Here is a 24,034-nt window from a genome sequence, read left to right as displayed (position 1 = left end):
ACTTGAAAGTTGTTTAAAGACAATTCGAGGCTTGCTAGGGATGTGTGAGGGAGATACTTTGAGGGCATTATTGAAAGGAAATATTTGATACTGGACAGAAAGAATATTGTGAATCCTGTAGATTATTTTAAGGAAGGAGCCTTAAGGTTACAAAGAGTAGGCTTATTGATTGGGGTTTGTAGTGGCGGGTGATAAAAGCTATAACAGTTTCTACTAATAGTGTTGCACTGTAATGATGGAATAAAAAATCTTTGGGTCCTTAGCAACTGGAGATGGGGTAGTGAATGGCAGAAATACTGTACCGTGGTTACATTCACTCATCCATTGAAATGACTTGTACTTTAATACAAATTTGTCCTTAGTGCATTTAATTTTGTTTTTAATCTTTCTCATGTGTATTTTTTGTCCTAAACGAAAAGTAAAATTGCACCCAAAATTTAATTTGAGTCTCTTTAAGAGGTTCTCATTTGCTTGTATTCAGGTATTTGTAGCAGAGTGTCCTTAAAAGGAGTTAACATATGTGTTTACTGAATGTTTTTATCCAAAAAAAAAAAAAAAATACAATAATAATCCAACTAAATACTAGAAGTTAGATATTTCCTGTGCTAAAAATCACTGTTAAAATCACTATTGGTCTAAATAGGAAATTAAGTTTTTTTGGTTTTAGGTAGATAGAATTCTGGAACTTCAAAAAAAGATTTTTCTTTTGGTTTTAGTTTTAATACCAAATACTTTTTAAACCTGTTAAATCTATAATTACAGAAATTGGACATGAGATTGCCCTCTGAAAATGAAACTGGGAAAAATCAGCCTATGGTGGATGACTCACTTATCTGTAATATCCTGTCCTAGGAAAGGTCTATAAAGTGTTGGTTTTTTTAAAGACAATTTGGTGATATTGCAGTTCAATTAAGGTGACCAGGATATAGATAATCTGAAAGAAACCATGGAATAGTTTAAAAAAAAGAAAAAAAAAAGAAAAACCTTTCCTAAGTTTTATTTTAGAATAACTTTTACAATTTTTTTGTCAACTCTATACCACTGCTATTACTTGCTTTATATTTTTACTAAATTGTCCCACTTGTCAGTTTTATCTTAATAATAACTGAAATTAAGGGAAATATGTATTTTTCTCATACATATTAAAATAAATAACTACTCAAATGTTAAAAGTTTGTGGGTAAGACTGTTTTGATGTTGAGCACAGTTATATTTTGGTTTCTCAAAGAATGTATTGCATTAGAAATAAATTAGGCAGCCAGGATGTGAGCTTATGTCTGTGTATGTACTGGCAAGCCGACCTCCGCAGATGACATTGCAGGAGAGCTTTTGTTATTTTGCTTTTAATTTCACAATAGATAGATAATCCATAAACATTAACTTAATCTATTCTGTTATGTCAGGTTCTCTTGGGTTTAGTACAAAAAATTATTCCATGTTGTGAGTGAGTGCTGAATTTCTTATTTATTCATTTATTTTTTCTTTGAGACAGAGTCTTGCTGTGTTGCCCAGGCTGGAGTGCAGTGGCACAATCTTGGCTCACTGCAACTTCCACCTCCCAGGTTCAGGTGATTCCCCTGCCTCAGCCTCCCAAGGAGCTGGAGCTAGGATTACAGGCATGCACTACCACCCCCAGCTAATTTTTGTAGTTTTAGTAGAGATGGGGGTTTCACCATGTTGTCCAGGCAGGTCTTGAACTCCTGACCTCAAATAATCCCCCCACCTCTCCTTGGCCTCCCAGAGTGTTGGGATTATAGGTGTGAGCCACTGTGCCCGGCCTGTGAGTGCTGGGTTTCTAATTAAAATACTTGTTCAGCTTCTCTGGTCCAGACTATATGTGTTAAAATCCAAGCTCCACTTTTTAGTTGTTGGTTCTGGGCGACTTAATTGACCTCTCTGTGCCTCAATTTTCTTGTACATAAAATGACAATAATAGTAACTGATTTCATAGGATTGTTAGGAGGATTAAATCAGTAAATACTATTATTTCAGTAAATATTTCAAGTAAATAATATCTGAAAATAGTTTATTTACCACAAAAGGAATATCTGATTTCAATAACGAAAACCTTAATTTACTTTGATTATTATTTATTTAAAGCTGGAGTCATTATTGGTTAACACTAGGCTAGTTAAGGCCATCAGCTTTAAGATTGTATAATTAGTGGAGCCATGGCACATTTAGCACAGTCCTTATTGCAGAAAGATCAGACTAGCAAATGATTAATTTTCTTGGGGATTTGTTGATGTTGATGTTTCTTAAAGCCTTTTAAAATATGTTTCCAACTTTGAAGTGTTTATTTTCTAGTATAACAATTTTATTAAAACATAAATGAAAATCTAGTTTCATTTATTTATATGTATATTTTTTTTCTTCTAATGAATCCTTTCAGGTTTGTGACTGGTTATATCCTCTAGTTCCTGATAGATCTCCGGTTCTGAAATGTACTGCGGGAGCCTACATGTTTCCTGATACAATGCTACAAGCAGCAGGATGCTTTGTGGGGGTCGTCCTGTCCTCTGAGTTACCAGAGGATGATAGAGAGCTCTTTGAGGATCTGTTAAGGCAAATGTCTGACCTTCGGCTCCAGGTAACTTGTGTGATCATCTTTAGGGTGAAAAAAATCTACTTTAACATAAGCACTTCAGCTTTTAGAGAAATTGTAATAACCTCTACTGTAATCAAGGTTAGGAGACTGACAGTTCACCATTTGTTTGTGTGTTCACAACTACATGCTTGGAATTTGCTGTAATAGTGGTTAAGATTGTGAGCTCTAGAGTCAAATTGCCTGTATATGAATTCAAACTCTTCCACTTAATGACCGTTTAGCTCAGCTGTTCCTGATCTTCTCTATACTTTAATTTACTTATAAAATGGGGATAATAACAGTGTCCACTTCATTGGGCTGTGGTGAAAATTAAAAATTAATACATTAAGCACTTATATCAGAACGAGTAGTTATGCTCTGTGAATGTTAGCTATTGTTTTCACCACTGTTTTATTGCTCAGCTGGAAAAGTGTACTAATGGGTCTAAATGGTGACATGAAGATAATTTTAGCTTTAGTAGATAGGTTATGTTGGACATTTTAAGGGGTATGGTTGGCATTCTGAGGAAGAAACAGGCTTTGGTTGAGATAATTATCTTTGTTCTTGTGGTAAATGAAGGCCAAATAAAAAAATAAAAAGAAAATATGATTTAAAATATGATCATCCTGGAACTTTCCTTATTTGGCATGTTTCCTCTGCCCACATGCGTACCTGTAGAAATAGAGTATTTCTGTTTAACAGGGAACTTGAATAGAGTATTATGGAGAGACTTTCTTTATATATTGTTGTAGCAAGAGGGAAAAAGTATTTTTGATTATGAATATTGACAGTCATCAGGGGTTGAATGAGGTGGGCATTATAATAGTATAATCTTTTATTCTCTCCTTCAATCAGCAGATACTTGGAATTCATTATTTAACCAGTTACTGTGTTAAGTGATGGGATGGGCAAAGTATGAGAACAGGAGACCACGAAGGTGTGGGGGATGTGTGTGTGTGTGTGTGTGTGTGTATGAAAATATAAAATCAGCCCCTGTTCACCCGAGAATGACCTACCTGGTGGTCAACAAACCAATACTTTAGCATAGCAGCAATTATTTAACAAAATACATGATCAGCATACAGAAGTGTGTAGCCTCATTGTACTTGTGAGGAGGAATTCACAAAGGCAGGAATATGGTCAAATGAAGGAGTTCATCTTCACTTCACTGTTTACTGAGTGAAATGATGCTCTTAAGTATTCACAGACCTAATGTGGAACTATTTCTCCCTTCACCCCTACGTTAACTGGACCTGTATTACTGGGCTTTAGGAAAGAAACTAAGCAGACTTTTAGGTTGTATGTTTATTTTCTGTCTTCAATTTAATTTTTTGGTATTTGTATGTTATTTTTAGCTTGCTTTACTGTCCCAGAACTTCAACTGTAAACATAAGCTAGTTACTAGCTATAATTTTGACTGGTTTTTACTCTTAAGCATTCATTCAGCAAAGTGTATATTGTGCAGAAAATTAAAAAATAAACCTTCCAATAATGCATAATGAAATGGACATGAGTTTTGTTAATTGCCTTTAAATTCACTTTCTCTTGTACATGTTAACTAAAATTTATTCATTAATTAAATTTAAATGTAGCTGCATCTGATTCAAAGATAACTTATACCAACAACTGCTATAAGTTGTCTTTTACACGTTGTCTTTTGAAACTTACTTAGGCATATGCTATGAACCAAAGAACTCAGAGGTTTGGGGTTTGGTGATGAAACAAAAGAGAATCGTAGAGAAAAAAGCAAAAGTAGTTGTTACTGATAGACTGCCAAACTGACATTCAAACAAGTATGTCATTTGAGCATGGTGTAATATAGCTGGCAGAAAGCCATCTAAGAAAAATTCTGATTAGAGTTAAGCTTAAACCTTTATTCTCTAGGCCAACTGGAACAGAGCAGAAGAAGAAAATGAATTCCAAATCCCTGGAAGAACTAGACCCTCCTCTGACCAACTAAAAGAAGCCTCTGGCACTGATGTGAAACAGTTGGACCAAGGCAATAAGGATGTACGTCATAAAGGAAAACGTGGAAAAAGGGTAAATAAAAGAGTAATAAGTGTGTGTGTTGTCTTCTAATGGTACCTTTCTCCAGTTTCATGTATTTATATGATCATATTCCCATATACTAAAGCAAAGCAACTTGTGCATTAGTCAACAAAGTGATCACTGGCAAAAACAATTAGAATCAGTTGTAGTATTTCCCTTTTAAAGTGTGTGTTACTTAAACTATTTTAAAAGATACTCTGTGTTTGGGGGATAGATTTTTTTCCCAACTGTTTGAGAGATTTTATTTTTTTTGAGACAGGATCCTGCCTTGTCACCCAGGCTGGAGTGCAGTGGTGCAAACATGGCTCACTGCAGCCTTGACCTCCCAGGCTCATGTGATCCTCCTGCCTCACGCTCCACGAGTAGCCAGCATTACAGACATGAGCCACCATACCTGGCCAAGATATTTTTATATTTGCATTAGTGATGCACATACTTTCTTATTTGTTTTGTGTTATTCTCTGCCTTCCTATATTCACTAAGAGCTTGGGGGCTAGATATGCTACTGTCTTTTTTTTTCTTACACTGCCATTTTTATTCAGTTTCCTGTTTTTTTATGGATGGGCAACAGGACAGAGATTTGATTTAAAAAAATATACTGAGTGGTTTCTTCTTTCATTTCATAGGCTCTGAGTATGTAATATATTCTAACTGGTAAATTTGGATTAGAGTTCAGGAAATATTTATTGAGAGCTAGAATGTTAGGTCTACATAGTGGAAAAAGTTTAAATTTCTTGTCTCAATGAATTTACTGTCTAATGGAAAGAACAGATTAGCAAAGAGATCATTTCTATCCAATGTGGCTATTAGATAGAAGATGCAGCCTAGCCTAACAGATAAGTGTGGGTGGATGAGTGGTATGGGAAGCAGTGAGGAGCCCCCTCCTACAGGACATTATAACTAAAATGAGTCTTGAAGGATAAAGAAGAGTTGGCCTTATGAATAGCAAATTTAAGGGGATTCTAGGCAGAAGTGGTAATATAAGCAAGTATATGAATAAAACAGCATTGTCTTGAGTATCATAGGCAGTTTAGTATTGTTCATTGCTATATTCCACATGGTAAATGCTCAATAATTATCTTTGGAATTGATGAATATCACGTGAATATTCTACATTTATTTGCAAAGTGTCACTGTGGTTTATGTTGAACATCTTAGACCAGCTATATGAGGATACTGGAAGTCCAAAATGGTTCCAAGATATATATTTTACTTAAAAATGTTGTTTTAAAATTAATCACAAGAAACCAAAGTTGAAGGGTACAAAAGAGTATATGGTAAAAAATAAGTCTGGGCCCTATTCCTGTCCACATAATTATGTGTCCAGACACATAATCTTCCCCTGTCTCCTCACCCCTGCAGATGGAGTCTCACTCTGTCGCCCAGGCTGGAGTGCAGTGGTGCGATCTCAGCTGACTGCAACCTCCGCCTCCCGGGTTCAAGCAATTCTCGTGTCTCAACCTCCCGAGCAGCTGGGATTACAGGTGCCTGCCACCATGCCCGGCTAATGTTTGTATTTTTAGTAGAGATGGGGTTTCAGTTTCACCATGTTGGCCAGGCTAATCTCGAACTCCTGACTTCAGGTGATCCACCCACCTTGGCCTCCCAAAGTGCTGGGATTACAGGCATGAGCCAGCATGCCTGCCCTCAGACACATAATTATTAACTTCTGTTGTCCTTCTAGATATATTTTATGCGTAGTTAAATACACACACACAGAGACATATATAATATTTAACATAAATGGTGGCATGTAAAACATAATGTTTTGTTCCTTGCTTTTTTACTTAACAGTATATTTGGAAATTCTTCCATATCATTTAGAACTTTGTGTTTTAAAATTTAATTTCTTGTTCTAAAAAAATCAAATGATATTAAAAAGTATATGCAGTGAAAAGCTTTAGATTTTACTTATGGGTGACTTTTATCCCATGTAGAAGTTGTTTTGTTTAATGTTGTTTTTATATTTTATGTGACATTCTTTGTGTTACTGGCCACTTTGATTTTCAAGTTATTTTATTATATTAATACTATGAGGTCTGAGTTAGCCTGCATCTTATTTCTTAGAATGAGTTCATTTAGCTTTAAGAGTTTGGGTGTTGGCCCAGGCTCTCATCACAGCTGTTCAGTTAGCAAAGTATAGATATATGTTCTCCATTTCCTCTTAAATGGAATAGCAGATTATTCTGTGTTTATATATTCCTTCTTGTTTCAAATTAGACATTTGTTTGATCTCTGTCAAAACCAGTTTATGAATTCATCTTTGCTTACTGATTGAGTCATTTAACAAAAATCTTTTAATCTTACTGAGTACCATGTGCACACTAATATCTAGGGATGATATCTGTTTGAAGGAAATCAGTCTAGTCCAGAAAAGAAAAAAGTCAATTTAAATGATTTGTTAAATGCCATATTGGACTTATATTGGTATTTAAATCTTACCAGTCAAGATTTATATGGACCAGAACAGTTTTCAACTTCATGGCAGTTCTGGTATTGTACTTTATAAGACCATACTGGTAACTAGGTTGGCTGGAGATATTTTTCATTAATTTTATCTAGTATTTGTTGGCTTCATATTTGTTATATAATGCTTACAGTTTTCCCCCTCTTAGTACTAACTCTTCACATTTTGAAACATTTTTACTGTTTAGGCTAAAGATACTTCAAGTGAAGAAGTTAACCTGAGTCACATTGTACCATGTGAGCCAGTTCCAGAAGAAAAGCCAAAAGAATTACCTGAATGGAGTGAAAAAGTGGCTCACAACATTTTGTCAGGTATTACAGTAATGTTAATTTTTTTCCCTGTATGACATTAAGCCTTTGGAACCAAATAAAGATATTGTTTATTAGGGAATACTGAGAAAGATAATATTTTGTATTTTGGTTTTAAATGATCAATTTAGAAATAAATGTAGAAGGAACTAGTCTTTTGAAACATCAGATATTGTCATATAAGTATAAATTCTTCCTGGCCTATTATTCTGTTCTACTATTGGGAAAATGGATAGTGAAAAGCTTCAGGAATCTTCAAATTCTTAATAGTTCTGAATCTAAAATTAGTTATGTTCGTTTCCCCTTTGAAGCTCCCTCTTAACCTCCCCCTACCCCTGTCCCTCAGCTGTGGTCTGAATGTGTCCCTTCAAAATTCATATATTGAAATCCTAACCCCTGAGGTGATGGTTTTAGGAGGTGGGGCCTTTGGAAGGTGATTAGGTCATGAGGGAGGAGCCCTCATCAATGGGATTAGTCCCTTATAAAAGAGATCCCAAAGAGCTGCCTTGTCCCTTTCACTATGTGAGGAAGCAGTAAGAAGGTGTCATTCTATGAACCAGGAAGTGGGCCCCTCACCAGAGACCAAATGTACCAGCACCTTAGTCTTGTACTTCCCAGCCTCTAGAATTGTGAGAAATAAATTTTTGTTGTTAATAAGCTACTAGTTTATGATATTTTGTTATAGCAGCACAAATGGACTCAGATACCCACCCAAAAAATGAGACCATGTTCATCCATCTTTGGAAGCAAAGCAGCACTGTATAAACTATACAGCAATGCAGACATGAGAACATCTGAGGGTTATAGCCAAGCTCTTTGAGAAGTAGTCTCTGCTGTTTAATTATGGTTATAAAGGGCTTCAGATCAATTATTCTGAAGCCAGAATGATCATTAGTGACACATCTTTCTACTTTAATTGGTTAACATTTCACATAGCTTTTTAGCTGTAGTAACTCTCTGATTTATACCTTTTATTTTGTTTTTTAAAAAATATTGCCAGTCACCATTCAGTGTGTCAAATTCATAACCCCATTAAATGGGTCTTGACTCATTTAAACGACTGTCAATTCAGATTTCCATGTCCACTAAAATCCATTTTAAAAGATGTCTAAAGCAGAGGAAATCTTCAACATAAAAAACCAACAAGCTAAAATAATTAGCTTGCTAGGAACTAATAAAATACTTTTCCTAGTGCCAAAGAACTATGCTTGAGACAAGAAAAAAAGATAGAGCCAAATTTTAAAATGTAGTTGCGATAGTTAAAATTGACTTGAAAGAGATTTACAAAGAAACTGCAATGAAAAATCTTTTCACTTTTACTACCCTACCCCCCAACTTTATAGGCTGCTAAGCATTATTATTAGGAGGCCATCATTCAGAAAACTTGCTTGTTACCCCAACACACTAAATTCAAAGGTCGTTTTCCCAAGTTTTTGGAATTTATACTTGTCAGGCCTCTGAGCCCAAGCCAAGCCATCACATCCGCGGTGACTTGACGTATATGCCCAGATGGCCTGAAGTAACTGAAGAATCACAAAAGAAGTGAAAATGCCCTCCTCTGCCTTAACTGATGACATTCCACCACAAAAGAAGTGAAAATGGCTGGTCCTTGCCTTAAGTGATGACATTACCTTGTGAAAGTCCTTTTCCTGGCTCATCCTGGCTCAAAAAGCTCCCCCACTGAGCACCTTGCGACCCCCACTCCTGCCTGCCAGAGAACAAATCCCCTTTGACTGTAATTTTCCTTTATCTACCCAAATCCTATAAAACGGCCCCACCCTTATCTCCCTTCGCTGACTCTCTTTTCGGTCTCAGCCCGCTTGCACCCAGGTGAAATAAACAGCCTTGTTGCTCACACAAAGCCTGTTTGGTGGTCTCTTCACATGCACGCAAGTGAAAATACTGTTACAAGTTTGTTCCATTTACTACTGCTATGTAACAAACTGCCCCAAACCCAAAGGCACAAAACAACAAACATTTGTTTCTGTGGAATTCAGTGGGCCAGGTATTTGGAAAGGTCACAGCAGGAGTGGCTTATATCTCTTTCATGGTATCTAAGGGCTTCATCTGGGAAGACTCAAAGGCTAGCTAGTGACTTGACAATAAGCTGAAGACTGGAATCATTACTGACACCTCTGGCATCTAGGCTGGGAGAGGTCAAAGTCTAGGACTGCCAAATAGAGTGCCTACACATGGCCTCTTGTGGCTGGACTTCCACCTAGCATGGTGGCCTTAGGCTAGTCTGGCTTCTACCTAGTGACTTGGGGCTTCAAATGTGAATCATCCAGCAAACAGACAGAAGCTGCATTACCATTTCTGACATACTCTTGGAAATTTCCAACATCATTTGGAAATTTGTTGTTAAAAGCAAACAACAAGCCAGCCCAGATGCAAGGAATGTGACATAGACCCCACTTCCCTCTGGGAAGAATGTCAAGATCTTGTGGAAAGATTAACATTCAGAATAGCAGGCACTGTTTGTGGTCATCTTCAGAAATTTTTTCATCAGCTGCCACTAAATCTCAGGCCTCCTAGGTACTATAGATAGCACACCATGGTGCTACCGGAAGCAGTACAGCCAGTTAATCCTGGGAAGAGGTCTCTTTGTAGATTTCAAAAGAACTTTCAGCAGTGCATAATTTTAAAACAAGCAAAAACTGTGTTCTGGTAACACTCAGAGGACTTCTTTATTACTTAAGACCTCAGTTTCTTCGTGCCAGTACCTCTTTTCCTTTTTATTCTATACCTTCAGGGCTGGGGTTCTAGTAATGTCCTCATAGTTGGTAACTGTAAACTATTTAACTGCCTATCAGCGTATATGTCTCTTTATGAGCTTTTTAATAGGTAGAACGAGTAGTTCGTCAAATGTTTATGGTACAAGTAAAACAAAGGGGGGCAGAAAATTAATAAAGATTTACTCCAGGGAAAATTATCTGATCTATCAAGAGACTATTGTTACCTGACTGATTCAGTCTATGTACAAAATGAGTAACCAGGGATATAAATTGAGCTCATTCATCTTAGCCCATAATTGGTGCCTGTCCACTGTCAAAGAATAAGTAAAGATCACTAAAAGCTAGTCTGAGGTTCTCCTAATGTAAAAGGTAAAAAAAGTAAAACAACCATGCTGAAAGTTTACCTGTATAGGCTTGAGAAACCTAGACTTAACACTTTAAGAAGGCAGCGGCTATGCAGTATCAATCGAGTAGAGCCTAGTAAGCTAATTTGGAAGGAGGTAGAGGGTTGCTGACAATAAACTGATGGAGCCCACCTTTGGAGCAATCTACCTTCAACCATTCTGAAACACTTTAGTGGTTGTGAGATAGCAAAACATCATCAAGGGTATTTGAATGTCCCCTCTCAACTCCCTAGTCTTTCCCAATTTAATTTACAGATGGACTCTGGAATGCTAGGCAAACAGTTGACATGGAGTGAGACGGAATGATCACTTTCTGCCTACCTATTCCAACATATCATCCTAGGGTTGAGAGTGAGCAGAACGGAGGCAACTATGATGCCTCCCTAAGATTTCTCCAAGATTATGCATTTTTTGCTACCATTTTGTGCTTCTAGGCCCTAGCAAAAACTTTTCCATTTTGGTTAATTCAGTCTGTTAAAGAATAGACAAACAAGTCCTCCTATTCTTCAGTAGATTATTTCTGGGACTCCATTGGCCTAGTACAGTCTTCCAGCTGTCAGATCCACAAAGACCTTTATTCTGGCATAAATTATATAGAATGAACAAAACATCAAAGAGCAATCATATATTCAATTTATACTTTGATGGGTATAGGGTGGTTAAGTGCTAAGACAAATCATTTCTAGGTTTTTAGAGGACTACGTCAAACATAAGATACATGTCATATGATTGGAAATTCAGTAGTAGCCATGTGCTAGCCAATTTTCTGCCAATTTTCCCCCTCTCTTAGCCAGAAATAAAGACTATCAAAAGCTGAAAATAAAAAGATCAGTGATCAGTGTTTTAAACTCATATTTCTCATGATAAAAATTATTAAAACTTACCAGAAAAGTTGGGTTCTATATAATCTTAGGGTTCAGCTAGCTTTTTACCAGGAGAGAAAGCTGTGATTTGGGACTTCTGTGTTTTTGTGTTTTGTTTTGTTTTGTTTTGAGACAGAGTCTCGCTCTGTTACCCAAGTCGGAGTGCAGTGACGCTATCTCAGCTCACTGCAAACTCTGCCTTCAGGGTTTAAGTGACTCTCCTGCCTCAGCTTCCTGAGTAGCTGGGACTACAGGTGCACACCACCACACCCAGCTAATTTTTGTATTTTTAGTAAACACAAAGTTTCACCATATTGGCCAGGCTGGTCTCGAGCTTCTGACCTCAGGTGATCCGCCCAATTTGGCCTTCCAAAGTGCTGAGTTTCATGCACGTCCGTGTGAAGAGACCACCAAACGGGCTTTGTGTGAGCAACATGGCTGTTTATTTCACCTGGGTGCAGGTGGGCTGAGTCCGAAAAGAGAATCAGCAAAGGGAGATAAGGGTGGGGCCATTTTATAGGATTTGGGTAGGTAAAGGAAAATTACAGTCCAAGGGGGTTTGTTCTCTGGCGGGCAGGAGTGGGGGTCGCAAGGTGCTCAGTGGGGGTGCTTTTTGAGCCAGGATGAGCCAGGAAAAGGACTTTCACAAGGTAATGTCATCACTTAAGGCAAGGACCGGCCATTTACACTTCTTTTGTGGTGGAATGTCATCAGTTAAGGTGGGGCAGGGCATATTCACTTCTTTTGTGATTCTTCAGTTACTTCAGGCCATCTGGGCGTATATGTGCAAGTCACAGGGGACGCGATGGCTTGGCTTGGGCTCAGAGGCCTGACATTCCTGACTTCTTATATTAATAAGAAAAATAAAACAAAATAGTGTTGAAGTGTTGGGGCAGCAAAAATTTTTGGGGGGTGATATGGAGAGAGAATGGGCGATGTTTCTCAGGGCTGCTTCAAGCGGGATTAGGGGCGGCGTGGGAACCTAGAGTGGGAGAGATTAAGCTGAAGGGAGGTCTTGTGGTAAGGGGTGATATTGTGGGGTTGTTAGAAGAAACATTTGTCGTGTAGAATGATTGGTGATGGCCTAGATACGGTTTTGGATGAATTGAGAAACTAAATGGAATAACAGAAGGAGAAAAACAGGTATAAAAGGTCTAAGAATTGGGACGACTCAGGATATCTGATTAGAGAGCGCCTAAGGAGATTCAGCATAGTCCTGCCAGCAAAGATTATTTATTTACTTCAAGAGTTAAGAGTGGCAGTTTGGGGACAGCACCAGGAGATATCAGCTGTGATGGCTTGGAAAAACAGTGTAAACTGGCAGTGTAAACAAGAGCAGGGCATGTATGAGTAGTTGAGAACGGTGAATAGGAGTATGAGTAGACAGAAGATAGTAGGGATGACAGGTTTTCTGGGGCACAGTCTAAGTTGGTCTGGTGTCTCGAATGAGACTGGGGCCTAATAAGGAGCGTCTGTACGGGAGCTTAAATGGGCTGTACCCTGTAGCATTCCGAGGACAGGCCTGAATTCTGAGAAAGGAAAGTGGTAAAAGTATTGTCCAGTCCTTTTTAAGTTGGTGGCTGAGCTTGGTGAGGTGTGTTTTTAAAAGACCTTTAGTCTATTCTACTTTTCTTGAAGATGGAGGACCGTAAGGGATATAAAGGTTTCACTGAATACTAAGAGCCTGAAAAACTGCTGGCTGATTTGACTAATAAAGGCTTGTCTGTTGTCAGACTGTATTGAGGTGGGAAGGCTAAACTGAGGAATTATGTCTGACAGAAGGGAAGAAATGACTGCAGTGGCCTTCTCAGACCCTGTAGGAAAGGACTCTACCTATCCAGTGAAAGTGTCTACCTAGACTAAGAGGTATTTTAGTTATCTGACTCGGGGCATGTTGAGTAAAGCTAATTTGCCAGTCTTGGGTGGGAGCAAATCCTCGAGCTTGATGTGTAGGGAAGGGAGGGGGCCTGAATAATCCCTGAGGAGTAGTAGAATAGCAGATGTAACACTGAGAAGTTATTTCCTTGAGGATAGATTTCCACGATGGAAAGGAAATGAGAGGTTCTAAGAGGCAGGCTAGTGGCTTGTACTATAGCATAGCCTGCCTTTGCTGGTGTGTGGCGATTAGGCCTGGTGGAACTGCCATCAATAAATCAAGCGTGATCAGGGTAAGGAACAGGAAAGAAGGAAATTTGGGGAAATGGGGTGAATGTCAGGTGGATCAGAGAGATACAGTCATGGGGGTCAGGTGTGGTATCCAGAATAATGCGAGAGGCCGGATTGGAGTCTGGGCCAGGAACAACGGTAATTGTGGGAGACTCAACAAAGAGTGAGTACAGCTGAAGGCGCCGGGAAGCAGAAAGTATATGCGTCAGGTATGAGGAAGAAAATGGATTTTGGAAGTTATGAGAACTGTAGAGAGTGAGTTGAGCATAGTTTGTGATTTTGAGGGCCTCTAAAAGTATTAAAGCAGCAGCAGCCGCTGCACGCAGACATGAGGGCTAGGCTAAAACAGTAAGGTCAAGTTGTTTGGACAGAAGGGCTACAGGATGTGGTCCTGGCTCTTGTGTAAGAATTCTGACTGCGCTAACCGTGCTTAGGAAGGAAAGGAGTTGTTGTTTTGTAGAAGGTGCTTGGGTTTGAGAGATCAGTCAGACAGATTGGCAGGGAGAGCACGTGTGTTTTTATGAGAATTATGCCGAGATAGGTAACAGATGAGGAAGAAATTTGGGCTTGATTGAAGTAATGGGGGCTGTCTGAGAAGCTTTGTGGCAGTACAGCCTAGGTAATTTGCTGAGCTTGATGGGTGTCAGGGTCAGTCCAAGTGAAAGCGAAGAAAGGCTGGGATGAAGGGTGCAAAGGGATAGTAAAGAAAGCATGTTTGAGATCTAGAACAGAATAATGGGTTGTAGAGGCAGGTACTGAGGATATGAGAGTATATGGGTTTGGCACCATGGGGTGGAAAGGCAAAACAATTTGGTTGATAAGATGCAGATCCTGAACTAACTTGTAAGGCTTGTCTGGTTTCAGGACAGGTAAAATGGGGGAATTTTAAGGAGAGTTTATAGGCTTTAAAAGGCCATGCTGTAGCAGGCGAGTGATAACAGGCTTTAATCTTTTTAAAGCATGCTGCGGGATGGGATATTGGCGTTGAGTGGGGTAAGGGTGATTAGGTTTTAATGAGATGGTAAGGGGTGCATGATCGGTTGCCAAGAAGGGAGTAGAGGTATCTTATACTTGTGGGTTAAGGTGGGGGGATACAAGAGGGGGACGCAAAGGAGGCTTTGGATTGGGAAGAAGGGTGGCAATGAGATACAGCTGTAGTCCAGGAATAGTCAGGGAAGCAGATAATTTAGTTAGTGTCTCAGCCTAATAAGGGAACTGGGCAGGTGGGGATAACTAAAAAGGAGTGCTTAAAAGAGTATTGTCTAAGTTGGCACCAGAGTTGGGGAGTTTTAAGAGGTTTAGAAGCCTGGCCGTCAATACCCACAACAGTTATGGAGGCAAGGGAAACAGGCCCTTGAAAAGAGGGTAATGTGGAGTGGGTAGCCTCCGTATTGATTAAGAAGGGGACGGGCTTACCTTCCACTGTTAGAGTTACCTGAAGCTCAGCGTCCGTGATGGTCTAGGGGGCTTCCGAGGCGATCGGGCAGTGTCAGTCTTCAGCCGCTAAGCCGAGAAGATCTGGGAAGGAGTCAGTCAGAGAGCCTTGGGCCAGAGTTCCAGGGGCTCTGGGAGTGGCTGCCAGGTGAGTTGAACAGTCCGATTTTCAGTGGGGTCCCACACAGATGGGACGGGGCTTAGGAGGAATCCCGGGCTGCGGGCATTCCTTGGCCCAGTGGCCAGATTTCCGGCACGTGTAGCAAGCTCCTGTGGGAGGAGGTTCTGGAGGAACGCCTGGCCACTGCGGTTCAGGCGTTTGGAAGTTCTTGTGTGCTGGAGATGGGGCTGGGGTTTGTCTCACAGTGGAGGCAAGGAATTGCAACTTTTTTCTATTATTGTACACCTTGAAGGCGAGGTTAATTAAATCCTGTTGTGGGGTTTGAGGGCCAGAATTTAATTTTTGGAGTTATATTTAATGTCAGGAGCAGATTGGGTAATAAAATGTATTTTGAGAATAAGACGGCCTTTTGACCTTTTAGGGTCTAGGGCTGTAAAGTGTCTCAGGGTTGTTGCCAAACAAGTCATGAACTGGGCTGGATTTTTATATTTGATGAAAAAGAGCCTAAACGCTATCTGATTTGGGATAAAGAAAAATGAGCATTAACCTTGACTATGGCTTTAGCTCCAGCCACCTTTTTAAGAGTAAATTGCTGGGCAGGAGGGGGAGGGCTAGTCACAGAACTAAACTGTAAGCCAGACCAGGTGTGAGGAGGGGAGGTGATAAAAAGATTATAGGGTGGAGTAGCAGAGGCTGAGGAAGAATTGGGACCTAGCTCGGCCTGGCAGGGAGTAGCCTGGGGAGGAAGGGAGAGGTCAGATGGGTCTGTAGAAAAGGAAGATTAGAAAGACTCAGCGACGCTTGGTGTTGGGACTGAGGGGACAGGCGGGAGGGAAAGAAGGAAGATTTGGGACGAGTTGCACTGGGCACAGACTAGGAAGGGACTGATGTGTAAAAGAATGCCTGGACGTCAGGCACCTCAGACCATTTGCCTATTTTACAACAAGAATTATTTAGATCTTGTAGGATGGAAAAATTCAAAGTGCCATTTTCTGGCTATTTGGAACTACTGTAGAGTTTGTATTGGGGTCAAGTGGCATTGCAGAAGAAAATAAGACATTTAGGTTTTAGGTAAGGTGTGAGTTGAAGAGGTTTTAAGTTTTTGAGAACACAGGCCAAGGGAGTAGAAGGAGGAATGGAGGGTGGAAGGTTGCCTATAGTGAAGGAAGCAAGCCTAGAGAAAAGAGAGAGCAGAGAAACGGAGGGAAGGGGTTCGGGGTTCTTACCTTCCAGAAAAGGGGTTGGGGCGCAGAGATAAGAGGTCAGGGCGTGGAAATAAGGGATGGGGTGCAGAAATAAGGGGTCAGGGCATGGAAATAAGGGGTGGGGCACGGAAATAAGGGGTCGGGGCACGGAAATAAAGGATTGGGGCGCAGAGTTAAGTTAGGGCACAGAAATAAGGGATTGGGGCACAGAGATATAAGAGGTTGGGGCACGGAAATAAGGGATTGGGGCACAGAGATACGAGGTTGGGGTACTTGCCCCTCCTCTAGAAAAGCAGGACTTGCTGCTAAGAGTGAAGGAGAAGGGGTTGAGGGGTACTTGCCCCTCCCCCAGAAAAGCAGAGAAGGGGTAGAGACAAGGAGAGGAGGGGTTGGGGTACTTGCCCCTTCCCCAGAAAAGCGGGACTTGCCGCTAAGGGTGAAGGACCAAGGCAGGCATCCCTGCGTGGTCTAACACCTTTGAAACGTGGGTGAATAATCAGAGAGGCATCCCTGCAATGATTAAAGGTCAAGGGAAGGCTGCCTTCCCAGTCTGTGACTGGCACCGGAGTTTTGGGTCCACGGATAAAACGTGTCTCCTTTGTCTCTCCCAGAAAATGAAAGGAATTGAAATTAAGAGAAGGGAGAGATTGAAGTGTGGCACCAAGATTGAAAGGAGAAAGAGGTCGAGGGATAGTGAGGGAGGTTGGAGAAGAGAGTAAAAAGAGGCCGCTTACCGGATTTGAAATTGGTGAGATGTTTCTTGGGCTGGTCGGTCTTAGGACCTGAGGTTGTAGGTGGATCTTTCTCACGGAGCAAAGAACATGACAGGGGATTGATCTCCTAAGGGAGGTCCCCTGATCCGAGTCACGGCACCAAATTTCATGCGCGTCTGTGTGAAGAGACCACCAAACAGGCTTTGTGTGAGCAACAAGGCTGTTTATTTCACCTGGGTGCAGGCAGGCTGAGTCTGAAAAGAGTCAGCAAAGGGAGATAAGGGTGGGGCCGTTTTATAGGATTTGGGTAGGTAAAGGAAAATTACAGTCAAAGGGGGTTTGTTCTCTGTCAGGTAGGAGTGGGGGTCGCAAGGTGCTCAGTGGGGGTGCTTTTTGAGCCAGGATGAGCCAGGAAAAGGACTTTCACAAGGTAATGTCATCACTTAAGGCAAGGAGTGGCCATTTACACTTCTTTTGTGGTAGAATGTCATCAGTTAAGGTGGGGCAGGGCATATTCACTTTTGTGATTCTTCAGTTACTTCAGGCCATCTGGGCGTATATGTGCAAGTCACAGGGGATGCGATGGCTTGGCTTGGGCTCAGAGGCCTGACACTGTGATTACAGGCGTGAGCCACTGCACCTGGTCAGTGACTTCTGTTTTTAATAACAACTGTAAATGGTAGCTTTCTTTAGTTCAGTAAAAGTGGACAGTGTCCCACAAGCTGTAGTAGTTAGGTTTGAGTTAGGGAATTTTAATATCTGCCAATGTCTCATTTATTCAGCAAACGTTCATGGTCTGCCATATGGCAGCATTAATACAGTGCATAGGAGGCAAACATGAACAGAATCAATCTATATCTGGCATTGTACATGCCATTTAAAATATCTACATAGCTACCGATGAAATATTGCATTTCCTTATCTTCTGTTGCAGTGTTTACAGTTTTAACATATTTATGTATACTGTATACTTCCATGGTGATATGTGATTATTTGCATCTAATATTTCTCTTTATTAGTGCTGTGACTTTTTATCTCATTTCCATTTATTTTTCTCAGTCATCATTTGACTTCATCCCTGTTATTTCTTATAATTTCATTATAGGATTATAGTCTCCTTTGTTTCACTGTCATTTATTTTATGATTTCTCAGTCTTCATGTTCAGCTGGTTTCTTCTTAAAACTTTTCAACCTATAAGTTAATCTAAAAAGATAATTTTTTTAAATGGGCATCTTCAAGCCTTTTGTTGTTTATGGAAGCCTGTTTGCTTGGGTTTGAATCCTGCACTTCCCCAGAAGTTGATTGTCAGGTAGGACAGTGGGGGTAGGATTGGAGCTGGAGGTAGAGATGTTGACTAAAACAGGAAGAGAAACATAAAATTTCTAATTATTTATTACATGTCACTTTTCATTGTTAACATTTTAAAATAAACTGCTGTGGTTTTCACATGATTGCTGGATGCTTATTCATGGGCTGGAGTAATCATGTAAAACCATGCCACAGACCTTGAGAGAACATAATTAAGTATTTCATATGTTCAGCTTTGAAAGCTCATTGTTAAGTGTTAGCCAAAAAAGAAATATTTTAAATTGAAAGTCTCTGCAGAGTAGGGTAATACTTCTTCCATCTTAGGGGACACTGTTCTTACATGTTTTTTCTTTTCCCATCCCTCTCCCACTCCTTTCCCCACATTTCCACTGGCTGAGGACCTTTTGTCCTCACTAGAGAAGGCCCTTCCATCCCTCTGTTCCTCTGGTGAGCACTTCTGTCATTCAAGCTGCGAGAACATAAGCAAAGCAAAGCAAAGGGCTAGGGCCCACTGTCATGAGAAATGGCCAAATTATCTGGGCCTCACTCTTCTTCTTTTAGATTTTCTCTACTCATGCATTTGAGTGTTCTCATGTTTTTGTCATTCAGGTATGTGTAGCAAGCTAAACGGTGCTGAGATCCAAGAGTTTGGGTTTAGGATTCAGGAAGGAACAGGACCCCCTGACTAAAGCTTTTAGCCTAAAGAAAGTAAGAGTTCTGCCTTGGTGTTTGAGAGGCAGTTTCTTTGGTTTCCATTTTGTGATGTTTCTGTCTTTCTCCCTCAAGATTTCATGGGGAAAAGAGATGCCTGGCCTAAGGCAAAAAGAACAAGAATATCTGGGTTCTTTGGCCAAATTCTATCTTAATGGCACCAAAACTAAAAATTAATACCTAACAGTAATATACTGTGGTAAGTAACATATAGAGATACTGTTTGTGGTCATCTTCAGAAATTATCAGCTGCCACTAAATCTCAGGCCTTCTAGGTACTAGGTAGTGGCAGCATAGAGTAACGCAGAACTGTGTCACTAAGTATTCAGGAAGAAAACTGCAGGTATAAAGTTAGCTTGAAAGTTTATGACATGGCACATTTAGCATCTGAATATCAAACTCCTTTTATTTTTTTCTGGTTGATGTTATTTATTAAAGTGTTCAAAAGCATAATTAGCCCTAATATTGTGCAATTTTAAATTTTCTTTTAAAAAGGTGCTTCCTGGGTGAGTTGGGGTTTAGTCAAAGGTGCTGAGATTACTGGTAAGGCAATCCAGAAAGGTGCTTCTAAACTCCGAGAGCGGATTCAACCAGAAGAAAAACCCGTGGAAGTTAGTCCAGCTGTCACCAAGGGACTTTATATAGCGAAGCAAGCTACAGGAGGAGCAGCAAAAGTCAGTCAGTTCCTGGGTAAAGTAATTCTAGATAACTTTACTTTTTAAAGTTATATTTAAAATAATGTCTTAATCCAGGGTTAATCTGCATGTTCATTTAGATGGTTTAATCTCAAGAATAAAGAATTAGGACAAAGCAGTTTCTCTTTGTTATTCATAGTGAGACCTGCGGACCAGCAACATCACATCGTCCTATCTGGAATCCTTAGAAATGCAGAATTTTAGGGACAGACACACCTACTGATTCAGAATCTGCATTTTCACAAGATCCCTAGGTGATTCTTATTTGCACATTAAAGTTTGAGAAACTGGTTAAAGGGTTGTTCTGATGTGTTGGAGAGGAGAATGTGTGTATCTTTGAAAAAGAGTTCTGAATGTAAAGTCATGTATTGTTTAACGCAGGAGGTAAGTTCTAAGAAATGTGTCATTAGGTGATTTCATCATTGTGTGAACATCATAGCATGTACTCACACAAACCTAAACGTTGCCACTCCACACCTAGGCTATATGATATAGCCTATTGCTCCTAAGTACAAACCTATACACCATGTGACTGTACTGAATACTATAGGAAATTGTAACACAATGGTAAGTATTTGTGCATTTAAACACATCTAAACATAGAAAAGGTGCAGCAAGAATGCAGTATATAAAAGATAAAAAATGGCATAAAAACTGTAGAGAGCACTTACCAGAAGTGTCACTTGCAGGACTGGAAGTTGCTCTGAGTGAGTCACTGAGTGAGTGGTGAGTGAATGTGAAGGCCTAGGACATTACTATACACTATTGTAGACTTTTTAACACTGTACACTTGGGCCACACTAAATTTATTTTAAAAACAAAGTAATTGCACTATGATGTTATGGCGGCTGTGGTGTTACTAGGCAGTGGGACTTAATCAGCTCCATTATAATCTTATGGGACCATGAAATGTCTGAAATGACCAAACCATCATTATGCAGCATGACTGGATGTGAATCCTTGAGTCCTTCTAAGGGATATGACACATTCTTTCAAGGAGAGCAGTTTACTGCTTAGCAGTTGAGGGTCAAGAGGGAGGGATCTGTTGTTTGAGAAAAACTGACTTAGTGATTCTGGTGCCAACCTTCCCAAGCAATGTACTTCTAAATCCTTGCTCTTAGAGAATCACAGCACTGAAATTTGGTGTTTTGAGGTGGGTAGATAGGACCTTAATGGATTACCATTAAATTTAGTAAAATTATCTTTTTTGGTATTTAGTATTTTTTGAATCAGATTTTAGATTGTTTACTTTTATTCACCGAGATAACTGAGATATTTATCAGTAGAAAAATATGAATACGCTAAGCTGGAATAAGCTAAAAGTACCAACCAATCTTGCATTGCAACAGTCAGATAGAAAAGGTGGCTGGTTTTCTCAAGCAGAAGTGCAAGAGCATGTATATCTGAGAGGCAAGGTTATAAACATCAGTAGGCTCTGCAAGCACAGCTTTAAAGCAAACAAAAGCTTTCATTTAAAAAATAACCAGTCTATGCTTCATGCCTGTAGTCCCAGCTACTCAGGAGGCAGAGGCAGGAGGATCACTTGAGCCCAGGAGTACAAGTCAAGGCCAGCCTGGGCAACATAGTGAGACCTCCTCTCTAAGCTTCATATCCTTAAGAAGAAATTGTAACATTATATAGTAAAACAATTTAGATGTTCATTTAAGAATGTTGCAAGATGAGTGGTAAAAATCAAGGGAATAATATATTTTTCCTAAGTTTTCTTTTTTTATGGTCATATTAGTTGATGGAGTTTGCACTGTAGCAAATTGCGTTGGAAAAGAACTAGCTCCACATGTCAAGAAGCATGGAAGCAAACTTGTTCCAGAATCTCTTAAAAAAGACAAAGATGGGAAATCTCCTCTGGATGGTGCTATGGTTGTAGCAGCAAGTAGTGTTCAAGGTAACAAAGGGCCCAGAATTTTAACTATGAAGGTCCGTTTGCTTTGGACTAGATTTACATCGTTTTAAATATTATTTTTACAGGATTTTCAACTGTCTGGCAAGGATTGGAATGTGCAGCTAAATGCATCGTTAACAATGTTTCAGCAGAAACTGTACAAACTGTCAGATACAAGTAAGTTGAATTTTATTTTAATGACTAAATCTCTGTTTTGTTGTTGTTGTTGTTTTTCTGAGAGGGAGTTTCTCTTGTTGCCCAAGCTGGAGTGCAATGGCGCGATCTTAGGTCACTGCAACCTCCACCTCCCAGGTTCAGGCATTTCTCCTGCCTCAGCCTCCCGAGTAGCTGGGATTGCAGGCACACGCCACCATGCCCGGCTAATTTTTTTTTTTTAGTAGAAATGGGGTTTCACCACATTAGCCAGGCTGGTCTCGAACTCCTGACCTCAGGTGATCTGCCTGCCTCAGCCTCCCAAAGTGCTGGGATTACAGGCGTAAGCCACCATGCCTGGCGGACTAAATCTCTTGTAGCATTTGTAAAAACCCATGACGGTCAAGATATTTTTATTAAGTATCTGATAAAATAATTTTTTTCACTCACTGCTTTTCTTAAATAGGGAGAAGAATAGTATTTCTAGTATAATAACAGAATTCTTGTCACTTTGCTTTATGTTACTAATCATTATAAACATTTGTTCATCATTACTGTGAAGAATAAGGTTATTTTTTTTAAAAGCCTGGAATTTCTGTATACCTTATTAACTGACTACATGTTTTTGATGGGTGATATCTGCCTGAAAAAACTTGAATTATAATTAAACTCTTATACCCCATGTTAATATTAGCCCACTCGGTATACAGACTGTTAAAAATTATGTCACATCTTACTTGACTCTGATTACCACTGTACATTTGTATTGGAATGGGTAGATGGTATATCTTCAATTTCATATATTAAGAAATGGACAAACAGAAATGAATGATTTGCACAAACTCACCTGATTAGTGTTATGATTGCTTTCTTATTTGGCCTTAAGGTCTGTCTCTGGAGAGTGGCTATAAATTCTAATCCTGCTGTGTTGTGGCTCAAGAGGAAAAAATCTCGTGAATGTTTTCAGTGTGCGTTTCACAGGATACTTCTTTATCCTGGCACACCCATGACCAGGTGTCCCTCTCTCAGGGAACTTGTTTATGGCAGATGCCCTTGTGGCTCTTTTCTGACCTGTGTCCAGTTTATTCCTACTAAGATAGCTACTCTCTAGGAGACCCTGACTAGGAGGAGAGCAAGGTTTGGGTGTGTTGGTCAGGTGACACACAGAGAAGGCAGCACAACCAAACACACGAAATAACAGAAACTTTTTATTACTCACAGACCCTTGAGAGAAGAGCGGTATGCATGAGGGCCAACAGGAAGTCTGGAGATAGCAGAGTGCTCAACCAGTGGGTGGGGCGAGGGTGGGTGAACAAGGGAGCACGAGCAAGGGAGAGGTGATTTGTGTGACTGCCTTCACGAAAGTCTATGGGTGTTCTTCCTTTGGCTTTCCAGTGGGGCCTGTGGATTGACTAGTTTAAAGAAAACAAGTGTGAACAGGGGAACATTTACATGGCTCTAGTTTTACATGACTCTAGTGTTGACCATTGGATTTTCTCGTGGTCAGCAGCTGTGGGGGTGTGTTGGGTTTTGAGTCAGTGAGATGAGAAACAAGTATACTGTATTGCAGACAACCGCATGGGGGAGAGAGAAGTTTTAACTAGGCCAAAGGTGGTGGGATACAACTAGGTTTCAAGCAACTTATGTCAGGCCTAAAAATAAATGCTGAAGCAACAACTATATAACAAATTTATACAAGTGGTATTGAAGGTGAGAGTAAAGCAGGGTCTTCTGCTTTTAGCTCCTTATTCTTTCTACCTGACTCTACTTTCTTTATACAATACTAGAAGAATCAAGGTCTAAAAAATAAATCTAGTATGAAGGACCTGAGTTGCTTTCTTAGCCTTGAATTAGTTTGGATCTTACTATTTATTTAGAAAGAAAAAAGAAGAGCAATATTGATAGTATTCACAACTCGTGGTTATTTATGTTAATTATCCACTTATTGACAGCATTTAGTTGAGTTCATACTTTTGTATTAGGCACTGTGATCATTGCTTTTCCTACGTATTAATTAATTTTCAACACTGTTATCTCCATTTTGCAGATGAGGAAACCGAAATGTAAAGTTAAATACCTTGTTAAAGATTACTCTCCTAGTGAATAGTAGAGCTGGGATATAAACCAAGTGTTTCTGTCATCAGAACCTGTGCTCTACAGTGCTAATTTAATTTCCATCCTTAATTGGTTCGATCTGCTCCGTCTGGGGCATGA

General features: G+C 39.8%; 1 protein-coding gene across 16 annotated transcripts in view, besides 7 other annotated features; it reads left to right on the top strand.

Moving 5' to 3' along the window:
- SPART (spartin) overlaps positions 1 to 24,034 on the top strand; it is a 68,543-nt gene that overhangs the window by 36,192 nt on the left and 8,317 nt on the right. For 15 of the 16 annotated variants that reach the window (NM_001142294.2, NM_001142295.2, XM_005266314.4 and 12 more), the window contains 6 exons: positions 2,393 to 2,590; positions 4,472 to 4,627; positions 7,291 to 7,414; positions 19,568 to 19,762; positions 21,512 to 21,670; positions 21,754 to 21,844. In NM_001142294.2, the coding sequence (NP_001135766.1) occupies positions 2,393 to 2,590; positions 4,472 to 4,627; positions 7,291 to 7,414; positions 19,568 to 19,762; positions 21,512 to 21,670; positions 21,754 to 21,844 (923 nt within the window). Of the gene's footprint in view, positions 1 to 2,392; positions 2,591 to 4,471; positions 4,628 to 7,290; positions 7,415 to 19,567; positions 19,763 to 19,906; positions 20,022 to 21,511; positions 21,671 to 21,753; positions 21,845 to 24,034 lie in introns of those variants that run through there. The other variant, XR_007063671.1, reaches the window with a different exon arrangement.
- Positions 9,423 to 9,717: an enhancer, noted in NCBI's record as "tiled region #3304; HepG2 Activating DNase matched - State 9:DNaseU". NCBI's record gives its function as "activates a minimal TATA promoter and a strong SV40 promoter by Sharpr-MPRA in HepG2 cells {active_cell/tissue: HepG2}" and the evidence as "EXISTENCE:reporter gene assay evidence [ECO:0000049][PMID:27701403]".
- Positions 11,255 to 11,956: an enhancer, noted in NCBI's record as "OCT4-NANOG-H3K27ac hESC enhancer chr13:36896170-36896871 (GRCh37/hg19 assembly coordinates)". NCBI's record gives its function as "activates a minimal SCP1, AML or CMV promoter by ChIP-STARR-seq in primed H9 embryonic stem cells {active_cell/tissue: H9 hESC(primed)}" and the evidence as "EXISTENCE:reporter gene assay evidence [ECO:0000049][PMID:30033119]".
- Positions 11,957 to 12,659: an enhancer, noted in NCBI's record as "OCT4-NANOG-H3K27ac hESC enhancer chr13:36895467-36896169 (GRCh37/hg19 assembly coordinates)". NCBI's record gives its function as "activates a minimal SCP1, AML or CMV promoter by ChIP-STARR-seq in naive and primed H9 embryonic stem cells {active_cell/tissue: H9 hESC(naive and primed)}" and the evidence as "EXISTENCE:reporter gene assay evidence [ECO:0000049][PMID:30033119]".
- Positions 13,362 to 14,065: an enhancer, noted in NCBI's record as "H3K27ac hESC enhancer chr13:36894061-36894764 (GRCh37/hg19 assembly coordinates)". NCBI's record gives its function as "activates a minimal SCP1, AML or CMV promoter by ChIP-STARR-seq in naive H9 embryonic stem cells {active_cell/tissue: H9 hESC(naive)}" and the evidence as "EXISTENCE:reporter gene assay evidence [ECO:0000049][PMID:30033119]".
- Positions 16,258 to 17,091: an enhancer, noted in NCBI's record as "H3K27ac hESC enhancer chr13:36891035-36891868 (GRCh37/hg19 assembly coordinates)". NCBI's record gives its function as "activates a minimal SCP1, AML or CMV promoter by ChIP-STARR-seq in primed H9 embryonic stem cells {active_cell/tissue: H9 hESC(primed)}" and the evidence as "EXISTENCE:reporter gene assay evidence [ECO:0000049][PMID:30033119]".
- Positions 17,092 to 17,926: an enhancer, noted in NCBI's record as "OCT4-NANOG-H3K27ac hESC enhancer chr13:36890200-36891034 (GRCh37/hg19 assembly coordinates)". NCBI's record gives its function as "activates a minimal SCP1, AML or CMV promoter by ChIP-STARR-seq in naive H9 embryonic stem cells {active_cell/tissue: H9 hESC(naive)}" and the evidence as "EXISTENCE:reporter gene assay evidence [ECO:0000049][PMID:30033119]".
- Positions 19,764 to 20,528: an enhancer, noted in NCBI's record as "NANOG hESC enhancer chr13:36887598-36888362 (GRCh37/hg19 assembly coordinates)". NCBI's record gives its function as "activates a minimal SCP1, AML or CMV promoter by ChIP-STARR-seq in primed H9 embryonic stem cells {active_cell/tissue: H9 hESC(primed)}" and the evidence as "EXISTENCE:reporter gene assay evidence [ECO:0000049][PMID:30033119]".

Source organism: Homo sapiens, chromosome 13 (genome assembly GCF_000001405.40).
Source record: "Homo sapiens chromosome 13, GRCh38.p14 Primary Assembly".
NCBI classification, from domain to species: Eukaryota; Metazoa; Chordata; class Mammalia; order Primates; family Hominidae; genus Homo; species Homo sapiens.
Note: the sequence above shows the minus strand (reverse complement) of the source record. Positions and strands in the feature narration are given on the sequence as shown.